At 48.8% G+C, this 20,500-nt stretch overlaps 1 protein-coding gene across 32 annotated transcripts in view, besides 2 other annotated features; it reads left to right on the top strand.

Annotated features, from left to right (window-relative positions):
• Positions 1 to 20,500, top strand: part of NPHP4 (nephrocystin 4) — a 129,615-nt gene that overhangs the window by 17,865 nt on the left and 91,250 nt on the right. For 30 of the 32 annotated variants that reach the window (NR_111987.2, XR_007058632.1, XM_006710563.4 and 27 more), the window contains 3 exons: positions 5,302 to 5,474; positions 7,198 to 7,262; positions 12,612 to 12,767. Coding sequence is in view for 28 of the 32 variants with exons in the window: in XM_006710563.4 (XP_006710626.1) it covers positions 5,302 to 5,474; positions 7,198 to 7,262; positions 12,612 to 12,767 (394 nt within the window). In the remaining 4 variants the exon portion in view is untranslated. Of the gene's footprint in view, positions 1 to 5,301; positions 5,475 to 7,197; positions 7,263 to 12,611; positions 12,768 to 20,500 lie in introns of those variants that run through there. The other 2 variants (XM_047417607.1, XM_017001001.2) reach the window with 2 other exon arrangements.
• Positions 2,445 to 2,944: an enhancer, noted in NCBI's record as "H3K4me1 hESC enhancer chr1:6031677-6032176 (GRCh37/hg19 assembly coordinates)". NCBI's record gives its function as "activates a minimal SCP1, AML or CMV promoter by ChIP-STARR-seq in naive H9 embryonic stem cells {active_cell/tissue: H9 hESC(naive)}" and the evidence as "EXISTENCE:reporter gene assay evidence [ECO:0000049][PMID:30033119]".
• Positions 7,019 to 7,518: an enhancer, noted in NCBI's record as "H3K4me1 hESC enhancer chr1:6027103-6027602 (GRCh37/hg19 assembly coordinates)". NCBI's record gives its function as "activates a minimal SCP1, AML or CMV promoter by ChIP-STARR-seq in naive H9 embryonic stem cells {active_cell/tissue: H9 hESC(naive)}" and the evidence as "EXISTENCE:reporter gene assay evidence [ECO:0000049][PMID:30033119]".

The following is a 20,500-nucleotide window of genomic DNA, read 5'->3' as shown; positions in this document are numbered from 1 at the left end:
CTTCCTCTGAGCCAGCGAATCATTCATTCAACTTCTAAAAAAGTGTCTTTTAAAAAATAATGCTGGAGGCCACGGTCCTGTGCAGTTTCTCAGTTTTCTTTTTGAGGTGGACATACTTTTCCCTTGGATTCTTTCCTTAATGACTGTGTGTGGCCGGTGTAGTGTGACTGGCTTCTTTTCCCTCCTTTATTTATTTGGGGGGAGTTACTGGGCAGGAATCCTCGTGATTCTCCAGCAACAGCTTAAACCCCCATCAAGGGAATCTTTCCTCCCAGAGCGCACCAGCCCCAGTGTCGCCAAAGCAGCGGGGCAGTCACCTGCCCTGGTAGAGGGATGCAGGTGATTGGGTTGTGTCTCTTCCCGTCATCACAGCCATGAGAAAGCCCCTCTTGAGCGGCTCTTACTCGTCAGAGCAATGAGCGTGCTATAATTTCCCATTGAAAAGTGGATGCTGTCAAGGAGTATCAGCATAACCCACGTGAAACTCCTGCGAGCCCTTCCAGGGCCTGGATTCTTGGGCCTGGCTCTGGAGCTTGCAGGAAGCCCTGGCTGCAGAGCCCGATGGCTGCTCCTGTGCTCTTGCTGTTGCTCGGCAGAGGGCAGGCATGTCCTGAACATCATCACAACAAAAGCAAGAAGCTGGCTTCGTGTCCCAGCGAGCTGCTTCCACAGAGGGAGGCTCTATGGCTCTAGGAGGCCAACTCGGGCCCTGTGTGCCTGTCTGTTTGCAGCTGGGGAGGGCTGATTTCCTCTCTGGCACAATGGAAACCACTGCCGTAGTCTTGGAACCTGAAATGAGAGGATGAAAGAAAATGGTTTTCAGAAGGAGAAATGATTGGTCTCTGTGACGTTTCCAGTGTTTAATTGTACAGTGATTGAACTGTCAGTCATCTGGGGACAATGGAAAGCTGTAAGTTTGTCAATTTTGTTGTTGTGTGTTCACAGCAGCATAGTGTGGGATCTTTCTTTTCTAAGAGATGGGGTCTCACTATGTTGCCCAGGCTGGAGTGCAATGGTGCGATCATAGCTCATTGCAGCCTTGGACTCCTGGGCTCAAGTGATCCTCCCTCCTCAGCCTCCCAAGTAGCTGGGACTACAGGCATGCATCACCAGACCCAGCTAAATGTTTTTATTTTGGTAGAGCTGGGGTTAGATATTTCTTGCTTTGGGTTATAATCATGTCTGCTCACTTACTTTTCTAAGTAAGCCAAGGAGTTGCTCTTTAGGCCAGAGGGAGAACTGGCTTTCGCCATGGGCGTCGGAGTTGAGGTAGGATGGGCTAGTGTCCTACTCCATCACTGATCCCAGTGGGACTTCAGACAAGTGCTTTAAACTCCTTGATCCTAGAGGGTGAGGGATAAAAGACTACAAATTGAGGCCGGGTGCAGTGGCTCATGCCTGTAATCCCAGCACTTTGGGAGGCCCAGGTGGATGGATCACTTGAGATCAGGAATTTGAGACCAGCCTGGCCAACATGGTGAAACCCTGTCTCTACTAAAAATTTAAAGATTAGCTGGGCGTGGTGGCACACACGCGTAATCCCAGCTACTTGGGAGGCTGAGGCTAGAGAATCACCTGAGCTCGGCGGGTGGAGGTTGCAGTGAGCTGAGATTCACGCCACTGCACTCCAGCCTGGGTGATAGAGCAAGACTCTGTCAAAAAAAAGAAAAACCAAACAAAAAAAAACCCTACAAATTAGGTTCAGTGGATACTGCTCGGGTGATGGGTGCACCGTAATCTCACAGATCACCACTAAAGAGCTTCCTCATGTAACCAAATACCACCTGTTCCCCAAAAACCTATGAAAAAAAAGAAAGAAAGAAATTAAATTAATTTGCAAGAAAAAAATAAGCTCCTCCTGACTTGATTCATTTGCTCATGAGAGATAAAGAGTGTGCATCCCCTAAGTGCTGCTGGAGTATTTAGTCATGTGCTTTTCCATAAGCAGGGACCCAGTGGGCAGTAGTTTTTATTCAAGAAATGTTGGTTAAGGGTCTTCTGTGTGCCAGGCTGTGTTTAGGAGCTGGAAGTGCAGAGATGGATAAGATGTTGTATTATCCTTTCAGCCAGGATTAAAGTTTACATTTTTACTCCAAATGAGAGTTTCTCAACCTTGGCACTGCTGACATTGTGGGCTGGATAATTCGTGGGGCAGGGGGCTGTCCCTGTCCCTGTCATGATGCTTTGCTGTGGAAATCTGGGCTCCCCCGATCCCTGCTGTCTTTGAGGGGTAGTGTCTGGGAAGCCCTCCGAACCCGCAGTGTGAGTCTGAGCCAGAGGGTAGGAACTGCATGAAGTCTCTGCATTGTTTGCCTGGCTGAAGATATCCTGTTAAAGGCTTATTAAAACAGTTCTTTGGAAGGGACTCATTCTGTTCCTGCTCAGCTCCTCTCTGGCCTTGCTGCCCAGCGTTGTCTGAGGAGCCCATGTCATGCAGGTGCCAGGTCATGTGGCCGTGCCATGGGGGGTGCCCGGCTGCGGCCTCTTCATCCAGGCACATCGGCAGAGGCCCAATTCCACTTCCATCACTGCGGGTGAAAAATGGAAACTGGGCCCCGAGGCAAAATGGTGTCCGTGTTTTTGAAGATGAAGGCATTAAGACAGGAGCATTTAAATGATTTATTAATCTGTTTATGCTGTCAAGGAGGAAACTTGACCAGTGCAGATAAGTGAGCTGCGAGGCAGGGGTGACAGAGAGCCCGTCTCCCTCTGTCTCCAGTGACCTTGCCCTGCAGGCGATTTGATGGGCTTGACTTAACCTTTTAATAGTGCAGTTTCAGTTGATGTAGAGAATGTTCCTTTCCAAATGTATGGCAGTGGCGCTCGTTAAGTTTCCCTAGACTGAAGGATGTGTGTACAGGTATTCCTCAGCTGGGTGCTGCCTGGCTGAGTGAGGCGGGAATTGGGTGGTCAGGCACCGGTGACCTGGTCGAATATGACTTTGCTGGGGTGACCCGAGGGGTGCAGCCATGTGGCTCTGTTGCTCGCAGTTTTGTGCCTGCCTCATCTGTCGTTTATGAAGCCTTCGAGGCTCGAGCTTCTTGAAAGCTGACTTGTGTTTTCCAGGTTCGTTATAAATTCTTTAGCTTGGGGCTGTTCCCACACTGGAGGGTCAATAAATGATTTTTGGAAAAGAACATATGTCCTTATCAATCAGTAATTGTACTGGTACAACCATCTGAACTTTTCAAACATGCTGCACTTGGAGCGGCTGACTCTTCTGATTAAAGATGGATTCTTTAGATTCTAAGGTTGGATCAGCTGAGACAAGCAGCTCTGGGGCTCTGTTGCTGTTGTTGTTGTTTTTGGCCTCAGAGTGATTATTTTTAGTGGTAAACAGAAGGGAGAGGCATAGCCATAAACTTGTATTTGGGACATGCCCGTAGCGGCAGGTTCCACCCGGTTCAGGTAGAGTAATTTCAGGGTGACCTCTAGGCTGGCAGATTGTTGTTGCTGGGTATCAGAGTTGAAAATGTTTATTGCCAATAGAAAAAGTGAGTAGTGTTCGTAAGACTGATAAGCACAGGTATAAATAGAAAAGGTGAGTTAATGACCAACTCGACTTTGCAGTGGGGCTTTTTAAAAGCGGTTCTGGAGTCTTGGAAACAAACATAATTCTCTCTTAGTCCAACCACCTGTCAGCTGTAAGTGGTCATTATTTCATCATATTGCAATAAAAGATAATAGAATAACGATTTATATCTCATGGCTGATGTTTTAATGCATCTCTCTGTTATCCTGGGCTGACAGTCTGTGATTACAGTAAACGTTTTCTCGGTGACACCATGGTAATGACTCGTTAATAGGAGGATTATTCCAAGTTTAAGTCATAGAGCGGAAGACCAGCCTCGGCTCTCCTTACCTCTTTGTGCCTTATGGGGGCGGTCTCTGTGCTCAGCTGGTGACCTGTGCTTTGCCCCCCAGCTGGGGTGTTGGGGTATGGGCTCAGCACCACTCCTGATGCCTGGGGATGCGCATTCCCTGTTGATTAGCAAACTCAGTCAGTGTCTTCATCTCTGTCTACTGTGCTACGGCATTCCTTCTTTCTTTCTTTTTATTAGACAAAGTTGCACTCTGCTGCCCAGGCTGGAGTGCGGTGGCGTGATCTCGGCTTACTGCAACCTCTGCTTCCCAGGCTCAAGTGATCCTCCTGTCTCAGCCTCCTAAGTAGCTGGGACCACAGGTGTGCACCACCATGCCTGGCTAATTTTTGTATTTTTCATAGGGATGGTGTTTGGCTATGTTGCCAGGTGATCTTGAACTCCTGAGCTCAAGTGATCCTCCTGCCTTGACCTCCCAAAAGTGCTGGGATTACAGGTGCGAGCCACCACCCCAGGCCCCTTAATTATTTTAAATAAAAACAACTGCATTGAATTTAACGCAATAGAAAAGCAGCAGCAGAGTGAAGGTGCTTTCATTCCCAAGTGGGAGCGCCCGTATGAGATGCAGAGAGGGGTTTGAGTCTCCTGTGCTGTCTTCCCAGGCCTCCTCTCCCTGGGCCTGGCAGGAAGGCGGAGGCAGAGGCTGGCCATTTGCATGTTGGGAATGGGAAGGTGTGAGTGGAAAACCTTTTAAGATCAATTTGAATATCATCTACTTGGCTTACATCTTGAGAAATCTTTTAATAAAATGATCTCAAGGTGATTTTCGGCATAAAAAGACTTTAGTCTTTTGGGCTCTGAACCGGGGATAATTACTTAGCACCTAAAGAAATTCAAGGATTCTTCTTGTTAATAGTTTAAATACAGTTCAGATGGAACTCAAAATGGTTACGCACGAAGCAGCACTGGGAAGGTGTGATCGAAGTTGTCTGTGTTGAGTGTCAGGCGATACTAGGAGCATGAATTGATCAGCACGTGCGTGTCTTTTTAGTGGTGGATGTGTTACGTCTTGGGCTGATCTAACCATGGTCCTACCTGGTGTGTCCCCCTGCAGGGTTGGGTGCATAGCTGCTCTAGCCCCATTCTGCTCTAGTGGGCCTGGGATCTGTTGGTGTTTCTTGTGGTGGAATTCCTAGGGAATGGAAAGTTCCTGGAGCGGAAGCAGACATCTGATGCCCTGGTTGTTGGGTGCTCTGGAATAAAGAGCTCCGACACCAACATTTCAGTCTGAGGGAGTTACCTCAGTGTGCCTGCTTCCCTGGCATCCTGCAGAGATGTGGTACACCACATGAGGGCATGGTAGAGGGTTCCGGATGCTGTGGCACGTGTAGGAAGGCGGTCTCGGGGGTGGGGACAGCGCCCATGTCCTCTTTGTGTGTGTCCTGAACACTCAGACCATCCTCTGGCTTCTGTTCTGCAGCCCTTGTATTTTCACACATCCCTAAACCACCCTCATATCGTGGCTGTGGTGGAAGTGGTCGCTGAGGGCAAGAAACGGGATGGGAGCCTCCAGACATTGTCCTGTGGGTTTGGAATTCTTCGGATCTTCAGCAACCAGCCGGACTCTCCTATCTCTGCTTCCCAGGACAAAAGGTACCTGCCTTGTTTCTACAACCCTGGGGTTTTCCAGCGTCTGTCTTTTTTTTTTTTTTTGAGACAGATTCTCACTCTGTCAACCAGGCTAGAGTGCAGTGGTGTAATGTCGGCTCACTGCAACCTCCGCTTCCTGGGTTCGAGCGATTCTCGTGCCTCAGCCTCCCAAGTAGGTGGGATTACAGGTGCCACGCCCAGCTGATTTTTGTATTTTTAGTAGAGACGGGGTTTTGCCATGTTGGCCAGGCTAGTCTCGAACTCCTGACCTCAAGTGATGCACCTGCTACCATGTCTGGCTAATTTTTGTATTTTTAGTAGAGATGGGGTTTTGCGCCTGGCCAGATTCCAGCATCTTTCTATGGTGGTTTAACTGCTCGTCTTATGGTGGCAGTAGAAGGCTGTACATTTGTCATCTAAAGTTGTGTGTCCATAATAGCATAGTGTGGGATGTGTCTTGCTTGGGGGTTTGCCTTTTTTTTTTTCTTCGAGACAGGGTCTTGCTCTGTCACCCAGGCTGTAGTGCAGTGGTGCAACATTGGCTCACTGCCACCTCCGCCTCCAGCCTCAAGCGATTCCTGTGTGTCATCCTCCCACGTAGCTGGGATTACAGGTCTGTGCCACCATGCCTGGCTAATTTTTGTGTTTTTAGTAGAGACGGGATCTCCCTATGTTGCCCAGGCTGGTCTTGAACTCCTGGGCTCAAGAGATCTGCTCGCCTCAGCCACCCAAAGTGTTGGGATTACAGACGTGAGCCGCTGTGTCCGGCTGGGTTTGCCATTTCTAAGTGACTTAAGGAATTGTTCTTTAGGCCGGAGTAAGGGCTGGCTTTGACCACCAGTGATGGATTTGAGGTAGTATGGATATGGGCCAAAGTTGTACTCTAGCACTGATTCTCTGTGGGACTTCAGGTAAGTGATTTGAGCTCTTGGACCCTGAATTTATTCATCTGTATATGAGGAGTAATGATAATGCATATCTCGTAAGTTCTGCTTGAATATTGAGCGATGTGTTTTTCACAGGTGCCTGGCAGGCAGTAGGTGTTCATTCAGCACACGCTGGCTGAGTGTCTGTCGCGTGCCAGGCTCTGTGTAGGAGCCGGGCATACGGGTGGATAGGCTGGCGCATCATCCTTTCAGCTAGGGTTAAAGCCTACATGTTTACTCCAAGTCAGGGTTTCTCAAGCTTGACACCACTGACTTGCGAATGGATAATTGTTTGCTGTCGCGGGGCTGTCGTCTGTGCTGTAGGATGTTTATCAGCATCCCTGGCAACGCACTAGATGCCAGGGCACTGCCTCCCTGCTCCCTGGCCCTGTTGTGACAAACGAAAAAAAATGTCTCCAGACATTGCCAAATGTGCCTTAGGGAGCAGAATCATCGCTGGTTGAGAACCACTGCTCCAGATATACAGCTGTGGAAATTCCTCAGATGTTGTCTTGAGACATTTCAGAGTTTTGTAAATTTCCATGGTGTTTTCCAGGAAAGCTCCTCAATTCTCAGGCTGCCTTGGTTGGGGCTGCGTGTGTGCCAGACATGCTTGGCCACAAGCACCAACGGCTTGGGGAGCTGCTGCTGGCCTCAGCTGCCTCTGCCTTCCGCAGAGGATGGGACTGGTGGAGTTTAGAAAGCTCTAGTGGGCGTGGTGGTGGCTGAGGCCTCCATGTGCTTTCCTTCTGAGAAGTGCGCACGTGGCTGACGACTGTTCTCTGGGTCCTGTCTTCCAGGTTGCGGCTGTACCATGGCACCCCCAGAGCCCTCCTGCACCCGCTTCTCCAGGACCCCGCAGAGCGTAAGAGCCAGACCTGGCCTTGGCAGCACTCACTGCTCTCGTGCCTTCCCTGAGTGTTCCCCACCTTTAGCTCTGAATGGGATCTTTCTCAGTGTAAACTGCTATCTGCTTAGCTAATTTATCTAAGAGGTTTTGGCAGATGTTTCGTGGCCTTGGACTTTTGGCAGAAAGTAAAGAACTGAAACACACCAGCCCTGAGGGAGGGCATTGGTTTGTGGGGATGAGCACGGGAGCGCCTGTGAGAGCCACCTGGAGGGAGGGGAACAGCTCTGCTCACCAGATGAAGTAGTAGCTCTCTGTCACCAGCCACCGGCTGTCTCAAACCTCTGACCGCACAGCCGTCGGTTATCTCCAGCATGGCAAGGCCCCATGGCTGAGAGGCCGCCTTAGAGCAGAGCAGGGGTCGGCGGGGAGCTTCCTGCTGTTCCTCAGTGACCAGCCGTTCCCAGGCAGCCAGAGGGAGCCATTTGGGAAGGATGGGGATGACGGTCTGCTCTGCTGCTGCCTGCCTGGAGGATGACAGGAAGGGCGTGTGGTGGGAGGGGTGGGAGTGGGCTAGAAGGACATCAGGGAGGCTCAGAGCACAGAGGCTGTGCTTGCCTAGCAGTTGGGGGAGTGTGGGTGGGGAAGAGTGGCCGGAGGTGGATCTGTTGGGGAGGGTGACTTTTCTGTCTCTTCGAGGTGAGATGCTGCCCAGATTCCTCGAAGGGGATGTCATGTGTGCCTCGTGGCTTGTGTTAAAAGTCAAACCTGGCCAGACACGGTGGCTCAGGCTTGTAATCTCAGCACTTTGGTGGCTGAGGCAGGTGGATCACTTGAGCTCTCAGGAGTTCGAAACCAGCCTGGGCAACATAGTAAGACCTGTCTCTATAAAAAATACAAAAATTTAGCCAGGTGTAGTGGTGTGTGCCTGTAGTTCCAGCTACTCAGGAGGCTGAGGTGGGAGAATCACTTCACCCCAGGAGGCAGAGATTACAGTGTGGTGAGATTGCACCACTGCACTCCAGCCTGGGTGACACAGTGAGACCCTGTCTCAAACAAAACAAAACAAAACGTCAAACCCACTCCCTTTGCCCCTCACTGGTCTTGGTGACAATCTCGTGATAGGAGATGTCAGCTGAAGAGTGATGAGGTTCCTGAGACTGGAAAGGAGAGATTCATTTCTCATAAAGGGCTGCAGCCTGCAGGTGGCCTTTCTGACAGGCTGGGAAGTGTAGCCTCCAGCCAGAAGCCAGAAACAGACCCTTCGAGAGAGGGGCAGAGGGAAGAGGAATTTCTGCTGAGTGGGGGCTGAGCCTGCTTATTTTAATAAGCCCAGGAGGAGTCCTGCGTGTTTATGAGAGAAGCGTGCACGTGCGCAGCTGAGTCCCATGCCGCTTCATGGGACACAGTGTTCAAAACGTGGTGGCACTGGCAGGACCCGAGGGGAAGTTCTCGGCCTCTGATGTCAAAAGGTGAAGCAGGGGACACGAAAGCCCTCCCTGCATGCCCTCCGTAGACTATCCAGAAGAGGGAGAGCGGTGGGTGATCGCTGGGCAGCAGCAGCGATGGAGTCTCTAGAAGGGCTGGTTCCAGTCCTGAGGGAAGAAAGGCTAACGGTGGTTAGCATGGGCCGGGGCATGTGGAGGCCTGTCTGGTCCCCTCCTGTCACTCCTGGAACTCAGTTTTCAAGGCTGCTCTGGAGTCCTCTAGGCCAAGAGGAGGTCCCTTCAGTCCACTGGGGGCTCAGGATTTTATTTTTAGTTTACTGAGAACAACCAGTCAGGAACTTCATTTCGTTGCTGAAGATTGGCTTTTAGGTTATTTTTCAACTGAATCTAATTAGTCATATGCTGGGATTTTCTGTCCAGAAGTATCCTGAGAACAAAGTAGACAGCCACCACATTCGCTCCACGTCCACAGTCCACATGTCCATGCGTCTGTGTGGAAGCTGTTGGCCCTGAGTGGAGGCTGTGAGGAGGAACCTGCTGCGGGGCCCTTCACTCATCCTTGCAGTGGGCTTTTCCCAAAATTTGCTGGTAATGGCAATACACTCACATGATTCAGAATCCAAAAGTATAAAAAAGTGCCGGGTGCAGTGGCTCACACCTGTAATCCCAACACTTTGAGAGGCTGAGGTGGGCAGATTGCTTAAGGCCAGGAGTTTGAGACCATCGTGGGCAACATAGTGAGACCCCATCTCTACAAAAAATACAAACATTAACTGGGTATGGCGGTGCGCCCCTGTGGTCATAGCTACTTGGGAGGCTGAGGTGGGAGGATTGCTGAGCCCAGGAGTTTTAGGCTGCAGTGAGCCATGATTGCACCACTGCACTCCAGCCTGGGCGACGGTGAGACCCTGCCTCAAAAAAAAAAAATATATATATATATATATATATATAATATATATGTATTATATATTTTATATATAGTATATTTATATGTGTGTTATATATATATAAAATATATACATATAAAAAGTTGAGAGTGAGGTCTCCTTTCCCCATCCCCTCACCTGCTACCAGGTAACCTCTCTCTTTGGGTTCTTGTGGATCTGTCACTGGAGAACCGAGTTCTTTTCCCACTTTGTGTCGGCTGCAAAGAAAGAATATCCAATTGGAAAAGGTAGTCAGGTTTTACTCACTGGCCAGGGAGTGGAGAAGGGAGCCCTCACTTTAAAGGCACCTTCTCCCTGGACAGTGGGAGGCATGGAGATGAAGGACTGGGTACAGGCCGGGAGGGTGGGACTCCAGGCACATTGACGCAGATCATAACATGCTTCTCCAGGCATGGCTTGTACAGAACACGCGGTGGTCTTCTCTTGGAGAATGGTCTTTAGCATTATAATGATATGCTAATGGTCTAAAGGCAACTGGGGCTCACCTGTTCTAGTTTGCAGCAGTTTCGTGGGGCTCCATCTCTCTCTGGTATTTGGTCAGGGGTCAAGAAGCTCTGGTGGCATCCCTGCCATCTGGTTCCTTTAAAGCAGCTGTACCCATAGATAAAGGGACTGAAGGAAAACAGTGAGAAAAAGGAACTTTTGCTGTTATTTCATCAGGGCTGCCCTGGTAACAGACCCTTCCGGGGTCGTTTTACGGACACAGAAGCTAATGCGCTTGTCCAGTATTGCATCTGATTCTTGACCTCTTCTTACTCACTGTTCCACACCTTGCTTTCTTCCCTTACAATTTGTCTAGAAGAATGTTTCCTATCAGTACACAGAAAGCACTCACTCTTTTTACAGCTCTGTGGTGTTTCGTGGAATTGATGTTTCATGATTGATTGAATAGACCTGCATACCGACCCTTAGGGGTTTCTGTAAGAAGAGGTTGGGCCAGGAGCGGTGGTTCACGCCTGTAATCCCAGCACTTTGGGAGGCCAAGGCAGGCAGATCACCTGAGATCAGGAGTTCGAGACCAGCCTGGTCAACATGGTGAAACCCTGTCTCTACTAAAAACACAAAAATTAGCCAGGTGTGAGGGCAGGTGCCTGTAATCCTAGCAACTGGGGAGGCTGAGGCAGGAGAATTGCTTGAACTCGGGAGGCGGAGGTTGCAGTGAGCCGAGATCATGCCACTGCACTGCAGCCTGGGTGACAGCAAGATTCTGTCTCAAAAAAAAAAAAAAAAAAGAAAAGAAAAGGTTGGAAACCCCGTTGCAGTGGGCGTCCGCCCTTCCCCTGAGCATGTGCGTGAATTCTTAGGGCAAAATCCTGAAGCTGGTGGCTGGGTCTGAGGTCTGAGCATTTGGAGTCTTTTCCTATTTCTCCTGTGTGCCCCGCCCCCAGAGAGGTTGTGACTCCTGACTAGCCACTCAGGTCAAATACCTTTAGCAGTATTTTAAATTTTAAAGTAAGCAGATTCCATGTTTGAAGTGGTTAGGTACTAAAAAAAATACAGTGTTTCACCAATTTCTTTTTTTTTTTATTTTGAGATGGAATCTCCGTCACCCAGGCTGGATTGCAGTGGTGCAATCTCGGCTCACTGCAACCTCTGCCTCCCGGGTTCAAGCGATTCTCCTGCCTCAGCGTCCCAAGTCACTGGGATTACAGGCATGCACCACCACGCCTGGGTAATTTTTGTATTTTTAGTAGAGATGGGGTCTCACCATGTTGATCAGGCTGGTCTCAAACTCCTGGCCTCAGGTGATCCACCTGTGCTGGAATTATGGGCGTGAGCCCCCATGGCGGACCTAGTTTTTCACAAATTTCTTTTTCTGATAATACAGTAGTTCATATTTAGCTCTTTCTTTATGAAATCAGAACATGAATGAGCTGAACTTGTGACTCTCAGCAGCTGTCCCTGGCCCGGCCACAGCTGGGACTTGAGCCGCCTGAGACCACGTGCATGCCCTGTGCCTCGGGATGTGGTGGACTTCCTGTCACTGGAGAAAATCAGGCCCGAGCAAGATTGGCCGTTTGGTGGGAATGTGAAGAGGGCAGCCCAGGCCCTGTGTTTCGGGGGTGTGCCTCTCCCCGCACTCCCGTTTCTGGGAATGCTGTTCCTTCTACCTTCAGGGCCTGCCCGCCCTGCGGTGTAGCCGCACTCCTCCCGGGTGTCATTTCTCCAGAGTCTTTCCTTCATGCCCTTTTTCCTCCTCACGTTCCCCCTCGTGCTTTACCCACATCTGTCCCGTGGTTCGGATCCAGTTCTCCCGTGCGTTATGGGTATCCACGTGTTTGGTCTTAGCCATCACTCCAGGAAAGTGGCTCCTCCCTGAGGACAGGGCTCTGTCTCTGATGCTGCTGGCCTCCCTCCAGTGCTGCCCTCCTCCGTTTGGGGCTTGGTGGATACAAGTGCTGACACACAAAGGCAGGCAGGCAGGCCTCGGGCCAGGGTGTCCTCCAGGCCCCTCTGATGGCAGGGACCAGCGAGACCTGGGGAAACTGCACAGTCTGTGCCTGTCTGTGCTCTCAGGAGACTGAGGGAATTAGTGGGTGGGAGAGATTTTATGTTGGATTAAAAACTGCACCTCCAGGCCGGGCATGGTGTCTCATGCCTGTAATCCCAGCACTTTGGGAGGCCAAGGTGGGAGGATCACTTGAGCCCTGGAGTTTGAGGCTTCAGGAAGCTATGATTACACCACTGCTCTCCAGCCTGGGCAAACAGAGTGGCACCCTGTCTCTAAAAACAAACAAACAAACAAACAAAAAAGAAAAATTAAAACATTTTTTAAATTGTAACTTTACCAGAGAAGGTTATTAAAGATCAATGCCTTTCACTTGAGGCGGAACAGAGCACCACTTCACTCTCCCTAGAAAAGTCCTTTTCCTGTTTGTGGTGTTTCTAACATTCTCTGTTAATTGGCTGGTTTGACTGGAAGCACCTTTGCTTTCAGCTATCAGTTGATCACATTGTGTTTTCTTCACCAGAAAACAGACACATGACCCTCATTGAGAACTGCAGCCTGCAGTACACGCTGAAGCCACACCCGGCCCTGGAGCCTGCGTTCCACCTTCTTCCTGAGAACCTTCTGGTGTCTGGTCTGCAGCAGATACCTGGCCTGCTTCCAGCTCATGGAGAATCCGGTAAGGGCGTCTTTGATTCTCTCCACTTGGTGAGGTGAGTCTGTCCTAGTTCACAGTGAAACCTTGAAGGCACTGGGCTCTTCTGGGGGCAGCGTGGGCCGAGCGCCCCTCTGCAGCTCAGCAGCACGGCCTGGCGGGGGTTGTGGGGGACAGTGGAGGAGGATGGAATGGCAGTCTAGTTTCCGTTTCCCTCCTAAATAGTGTCTCACATCCTTCGAGTCATTTCTGGCTGCTTTGGTTGGGAAAATGCTTTCGTGAGAGACAGAGTTCAAGTCTCTGTGACCATAGCTAGGAAGACCACTGGCTGGATCTCAGCCATGTGGCATCATATCAGTGACCTGATGATCATGATGATGATTTTTAAATTAAGGTAAAATAAGGATAACATAAAATTGACCGTCTTAGCCCTTTTAAAATGTACAGTTCAGTGGCAATAAGTACATTCACATTGTAGTGCAGCCAGCAGCACCATCCATCCCTGAGCTCTTTCCTCTTCCCCGGCTGAAGCTCCGTCCCCTTCCACACTGACTCCCTATTCCCTACTCCCCCAGCCCCTGGCAGCCACCCTTCCGCTTTCTGTCTTCATGGTTTCAGTGACTCTAGGGACCTCATAGGACTGGGATCATGCAGTCCTTGTCCTTCAGTGGCCGGCATTCTTTAGGAAGAGAGGGGAATTGCTCTGTTAGTTCATCCTAAGAGTGAAATGTCTTCAAAGTTCTGAGTGGAGTGTTTTCGAGGTTCATCCATGTTATAGTGTGTGTCCCAGTTTCCTTCCTTTTCATCTTAAGGCTGGATGATATTCCAGTCTATGGATGGACCATGTTCTGCTGATTGTTTCATCAGTTAACACTTGAGCCTTCCGCCTTCTGGCTGCTGTGAACATGGGTGTGCAGTGACCTGAGGATTTTTGGAAACTGAAATTCGTGTTAAAGGACAAGGGCTCTGTCTTGGTGTGGTTTTCAGAAGTTGATTCTCTGGTGGTGGAATTGGGTCGACCCCAGCAGCCATGGGAGTGTTGGGGGTGTGCTCTGCTGTAGGAATCTTCTGGGTGGTCCTCATGGCCTGGGCTGCATGCTTCTTCCAGGCACTTCTGGAGACTTTTGTGTGGCTTTCTTGAGGACTCCAGGAGAAGGGACACACCAGCCTCCTTCTACCTGTCATGTGATGGAGATGTCCTGGCACCACCAGAACCTCGGGTGTCTTGGGTGACTGACTCCCTGCTGGGTTCCAGGAAGAGCAGGATTTGACCTTGTGTGTGAGGGGCGGGGACCGAGAGCAGTGCTGTGCTGAGAGTTTGGCTCATTCTGGACCCTGAAGAAAAGGATGCAGCTCGGCTCCGGCGCAGGTCCCTGGTTGTTGGCAATGACAGCCCTGTGCATCGTACAGGCATTCTGGTTGGTGCTGGGGTGTAGATGTTATTATCTGAGTTAATTAATTTCTTGGATAGGTCTATGGTGGACATCATCATTGTGAAGTCACTGTTTTTCCAGCATTCCAGGGAGGAGAGGGTGAGAAATGAGAAGGGAGGAATGAACTCTGAACAAGAGCAAGCGTGGGGTCGCAGTCTGGGTCTGTCCTGCTCACTGAGCTATAAGTGCTCTCCACGCCCACTTCGGGGTGTCTTACCCTGTAATCTGCCTGCAATCCTCTGAAAGGAAGAAGGAGACAGAGGGAAGGCCTCATTGTCACTGCTGTTGAGTTGAGCAAAGAGAACATGAAAACCTGTGTCTGGCTCTGAGACCTGGTCCGTGGCTTGTCCTTCTGGCCCCTGTTCTGCTGGCCAGGGAGGGCCCTGTAGGCGCCGCTGTGAGATGTCGCCTGCTTGATACTGATCATCAGGACTAACTGTGAGTTGCCGCCTGGTTGATATTGATCTTGGAACTAGCTGTGTGCTGCTGCCTAGTTGATACTGATCTTCAGAACTAGCTTTCAGATGTCACCCGGTTGATACTAATCTTGGGACTAGCTGTGAGATGTTGCCTGTTAGATACTGATCTTCAGGACTAGCTGTGAGATGTCACCTGGTGGATACTGATCTTGGGACTAGCTGTGAGATGTCACCTGGTGGATACTGATCTTGGGACTAGCTGTGAGATGTCGCCTGGTGGATACTGATCTTGGGACTAGCTGTGTGCTGCTTTCAAGTCAGCTGTGTCAGTCTTACTACCTGGGAGTCTTGGAGCCGGAGGGGTAGTCATCACTTTGTGACTTGCCCGTGGGTGTCAGTAGAACTGCAGACCAACAGAATTACCTGCAGGTCACTGGACTGGCTCAGCCTCATGACTAGGACTGCAAATGAGAAGCCGTGGTGCCCCAAGAGGACAGGCCTGGTTTTGTTCCTAGTGTCTTGTGTCAAGCTGGGGCCAAGGGGACCACAAGATGGGAGACAGAGTTTTGGATTAAAGAGCTTGAGCCTGGGGTGCATGATTCCTGCTCCTCATTCTTAAAAGCCATGCTTCGGAAGAGGTCTGGCCCGTTGGCCTCAAGTCGGCCTTCCAGGTGTGGAGCAGCCGGCCCGTCACCAAGGTGCCAAACGAATGCTGGCAGTGCCTAGAACATTGCAAAATTAATGACGTTTTATGCTGCTGGTGTTGAAAATCGAGTGAGCAGGGGATCTGAGGGCAGGGTGAGCACACGCCATGGTGTCCGGAGGGAGGGAGGGGGACTGACTGACTCCACCAGGTAAGGGTCGTATGCGCCTTTCGGAGAGAAAGGATAGGTATCTCAGCAACACCTGCCGCCCCCCCGCCCCCCGCCCCCACTCTCAGAGTTGTTTTGGGAGAGAAACACAATTTGCCCAGCCTTTCTGTTGTGTTTGGGGTGCCAGTGCCGTGTGGGCCCTGAGGTTACTTTCTTTTTATTTTACTTTTTAAACTTTTTAAATTATGTATGTAATGACAGCCAGATTCTTCTCTAATTCTTTTTTTTTTTTTTTTTGAGACAGGGTCTGGCTCTTCTTCAGGCTGGAGTGTAGTGGCACAATCTTGGCTCACTGCAAACTCTGCCTCCCATGCTCAAGTCAATCTCCCACCTCAGCCTCCTGAGTAGTAAGGACTATAGGCATGTGCCACCATGCCTGGCTAATTTTTTTTTTTTTTTTTGAGACAGTCTTGCTCTGTCGCCCAGGCAAGAGTGAAGTGGCACAATCTCGGCTCACTACAACCTCCGCCTTCCGGGTTCAAGTGATCCTCCTCCCTCAGCCTCCCGAGTAGCTGGGATTACAAGTGTTCACGACCATGCCCAGCTAATTTTTGTATTTTCAGTTGAGACGGGGTTTCACCACGTTGGCCAGGCAGGTCTCGAACTCCTGACCTCAGGTGATCCACCTACCTCGGCCTCCCAAAATGCTGGGATTACAGGTGTGAGCCATGGCGCCTGGCCTCCAGCTAATTTTTGTATGTTTTGTAGAGACAGGGTTTCTCCGTGTTGCCCAGGCTGGTCTCAAACTCCTGAGCTCCAGCATCAAGGAATGCACCTGCCTTGGCCTCCCAAAGTGCTGGGATTACAGACATGCGCCACTGTGCCTGGCCTTGAGGCTGCTTTCTGACGGCTGTTCCTGGCCAGTGCCAATGCAGCTTGTCAGTTGTTTGCCCCTTTTATACAATATGCTAAAGAGCGTTTTAAAACCACGAAGTTCATGTGTGTTCAGTACATTTAGTGAAAACTGAAAGTCTTCCCTTCTAGTCTAACTCCGTGGAGAAAACCACTGATCATAGTTTGGTGTATACTTTTTACGTATTCACTAATTCATTCATTTATTCACTGATTTATTCAACAAATATTTATTGAGTAGACACTGTGAAGCAGGCCCTGGGCTGGGTGCTGAGGATGTCACATTGCACTCTTAGGAGGGAGGTCATAGGTCTCTCTTGAATGGATTTTGGTAAGGGCAGACCTCAAATCTAACCACAGTCACCAAAGGCAATAGGTGTTTTAGAATAAACCTGGACTAGCTCAAAGTCATTTTCATTCCTGCTTAAATCATTCCTAAATGTAGTTTTCATTCTGCTGTCGCTGTTGCAGCGTTCTTGTTTTTGAGGTGCATTCTGGTGAATTAAATATCCCACTGTTGCAGCGGTCTTGTTTTTGAGGTGCATTCTGCTGAATTAAATATCCCACTGTTGCAGCAGTCTTGTTTTTGAGGTGCATTCTGCTGAATTAAATATCCCACTGTTGCAGCGGTCTTGTTTTTGAGGTGCATTCTGCTGAATTAAATATCCCACTGTTGCAGCGGTCTTGTTTTTGAGGTGCATTCTGCTGAATTAAATATCCCACTGTTGCAGCGGTCTTGTTTTTGAGGTGCATTTTGCTGAATTAAATATCCCACTGTTGCAGTGGTCTTGTTTCTGAGGTGCATTCTGCTGAATTAAATATCCCTAGCAGAAGAGCTGTGTCCCCAAGAGGCTGTGGGCTGTGGGAGCCCGTTAGGGCCTAGGGGAATCTCAGGGGCTCTCCACTGTATGTCAGTGGGAAGGGGGTTCTTGCTTGTGAAGGGTTTGCTGGCAATCCCTGTTTTCTCTGTAGTGTGCTTATGGGGGTCCCAGAATAAAATGGATTGTTGTAGAGTGGGGTGTGTTTTTCCATAGGAGCAATGCTGTTATTGGGAATTCCTTTCCTAGCCAGAGACTTGGCAACAGATAAATTAAAGGTAGGCCAAGCTACAGAGCATGAAGGGCAGAACGCCTCTGCTGCAGTGGGGGTCACTTCTGCCACGGTGGGGTTCATGTCTGCCGTGGTTGCTGCTGTTGGTTGGTTAGTTGAATGAGTGAGTGAAAGAGTGAATGATTTCAGGTAGTAAAAGGATGCTTGTTGGGTTATGCTGGAGGCTGACAGACCTGTGGCGGTTGTCTGCTCCACGTCTAGCCACGATGTGAGCTGGGGGCAGGTTTCCCAGCCTCTCCAAGTCTTTGCTTTTGTTTTTCCTTTATAAATTGGGGACAATAATAGGGCCTGCTCATAAAGATGTATTTGGGGAGAAAATGAGATGGATTGGTAAAGCACTAGCGTCTTCATCATGAAAGTTGTGTCTTAAATTCAGCCCAGATCCAAGCCTCCTACAGTAGAGCGTCCTGGGAGGTCTGATCTGTTTGCCCTTTGCTAGCTAGCCCTTCAGATGTGCGAAGGCAACACTCAGCACCGGGCCCAGCTGTGTTTTTGTCCAGGCCTGGCCTCTCGAAGGTCACAGAGTAACTTGGTGGCTGAGCCAGGCTTGGGCTCAGGTGCTTTACTCCAGAGCCCATGATGCTTGCAAGATGTGGCCTGCCAAGCCGGCTGAATGAGGATACCCAGGCTTCTCTGGCTTCCCTGGGCCCTCCAGGATCTGGAAGTTTCTACTCACTGCAGATGTAGCTCCTCAGTCTGGCTGTCCTGGTGGGAACCCATCTTTCCTCCCTTGATGACTTCCTGTGCGTGGGACTTGCATCTTCAGCTCTCTGTGCAGACCAGGGTCACAACTATTGGAATGGCTTTTGCTCCTGGGGGTGCGTGTGCACCCTGGTCATGAGGTGGCCACACAGAACCTCTTTCCTTCCCAGCCTGGGCCACTTCCAGGAGCACTGACTTCTGCCCCCTCCCAGATGCCTGGTGACCCTGATCCCTCCACTGAGTTGCTGCCTCTTGAGATGGGGCACCCATGGCACACAAGTGATCTTTCCTAAAGGAAGTCGGTCTGGGAAATGGCCTTTGTCCTCCGTTATTTTAGTTTATGTCATCCCTCCCTGCACCCCCCCCCCCCAGCTTTTTGAAACATTCTGTTAAAATGTTTCTTGGCTTACTGTAATTGTATATATTTATGGGGAACAGTGTGATGTTTCAGTACACGTATGTGTTGTAGAGTAGATCAAATGAGAGTACTAGCGTGACTGTAATCTCCCACACTCATCATTTCTGTGTGGTCAGGACATTCAGAAGCCGCTCTTCTAGCTGCTCTTCTAGCTCTTTTGTATTTTACGGGAACTTACTGGTAACCGTCATTACCCTGCTGTGCAGGAACAGCAGAATTTAGACTGTAACTTGTACCATGACCCCTTGACAACCTCTCCCTCCCCTCCTCAGTCTCTGATAACCACTGTTCTGTGCTCCGCTTCTATGGTACCAACTCTTCTTTTTGAGATCCCACATATGAGTAAGATCATGTGGTATTTGTCTTTCTGTGCTTGGCTTATTCCACTTAACCTTGATGTCTGCTAGGTCCATTCATGTTGTGTTGTCGCAAGCGACAGGACTTCATTCTTTGATCGTGGTTGCGTAAGTACTCCATTGTGTAGATACACTACTTTTCTTTATGCATTCATCCATTGATGAACACCTAGGTTGATTCTGTGTCTCCACTGTTGTGAATAGTGCTGCAATAAACATGGGAGTGGCGATATCTCTTTGACATACTGATTTCATTTCCTTTGGATATTATATACTCAGTAGTAGGATTGCTGAATTATATGGGAATTCTATTTTCAACTTTTTGAGGAACCTCTGTCTAGTTTTCCATAGTGGCTGTTGTAATTTGCAGTCCCACCCGTATTGTATAGGTGTTCCCTTTTCTCCACGTCCTCACCAATGCTTATTTTCTTTTATCTTTTTGATGGTGGCCATTCTCACTGAAGTGAGGTGGTATCTCATTGTGGTTTTAATTTTCACTTCCCTGATGACTAGTGAGGCTGAGCATCGTTTCCTGTGCCTACAGGTATTCGAACGTCTTCTTTTGAGAAATGTCTGTTAAGGCCTTTTGCCCATTTTAAAATCAAGCTACTAGTTTTTTTTTTTTTCTGTTGAGTTGCTTAAATTCCTTATGTATTCTGGATATTAACCCCTTGTTAGATATATAGTTTACAAATATTTTCTCCCATTGTGCAGGTTATCTCTTCACTCGGTTAATTGTTTACTTTATTGTGTAAGACCTTTTTATTTTGATATAATCCATTTGTTTCTTTTTGCTTTTGTTGCCTGTGCTTTTACGGTTTTATTTAAAAAAATCCTTTCACAGCCCAATGTTACTTAAAAAAATCCTTACTCAGCCCAGTGTTACGAAGCACTTCTTCCGTTTTCTTCTAGTAGTTTCATAGTTTCAGGTTTTACATTTAAGTCTTCAATCTATTTTGAGTTGACTTTTATATATGGAGAGAGGTAGGGCGTCTCATCTCATTCTTCTGCATGTGGGTGTCCAGTTTGTCCAGCACCATTTATTGAAGAGACTGCCTTTTCCCCAGTGCGTGTTCTTGGCACCTCTTTAAAAATCAGTCAGCTGTAGGTGGCATGAATTTATTTCTGGAATCTCTATTCTGTTCCATTGGGCAAACCTAATGTGAGTTTGTGATGGGGACAATATAGAAAACTATAAAGAAGAAAATAATCTACAGTTCCTGCCTGCAGATCCACATGTATACATGTAAGTGCACATGCTTTTAAATACCATCGCTATCAGATGGAATCGTAATAGTTTCATATGTTACTATTCTTTTCACTTACAATATTACGATTATTTCTCAATTTATTAAATCTTTGACAGTATGATTTTTTTTGTTCTTATTCAGCAGGATGAATAATAGTTTAGTGAACATTCCCCTATTGAACATTTGGTTGCTTCGATTTTTCTCTATTATAATAAAGTTTCAATGAATATTCTTGCACATAAATCTTTGCTTCTGTCTTTGATTATTTTCACTGAATAGGTTCAAAAAGTGGAATTACTGGGGCAGAAAGTGATATTTTAAAGCTTTTGACATACTCAAAGGCAA

Source organism: Homo sapiens, chromosome 1 (assembly GCF_000001405.40).
Source record: "Homo sapiens chromosome 1, GRCh38.p14 Primary Assembly".
Taxonomy (NCBI): Eukaryota; Metazoa; Chordata; class Mammalia; order Primates; family Hominidae; genus Homo; species Homo sapiens.
The sequence above is the reverse complement of the archived record's forward strand: the minus strand, read 5'-3'. Positions and strand labels throughout refer to the sequence as shown.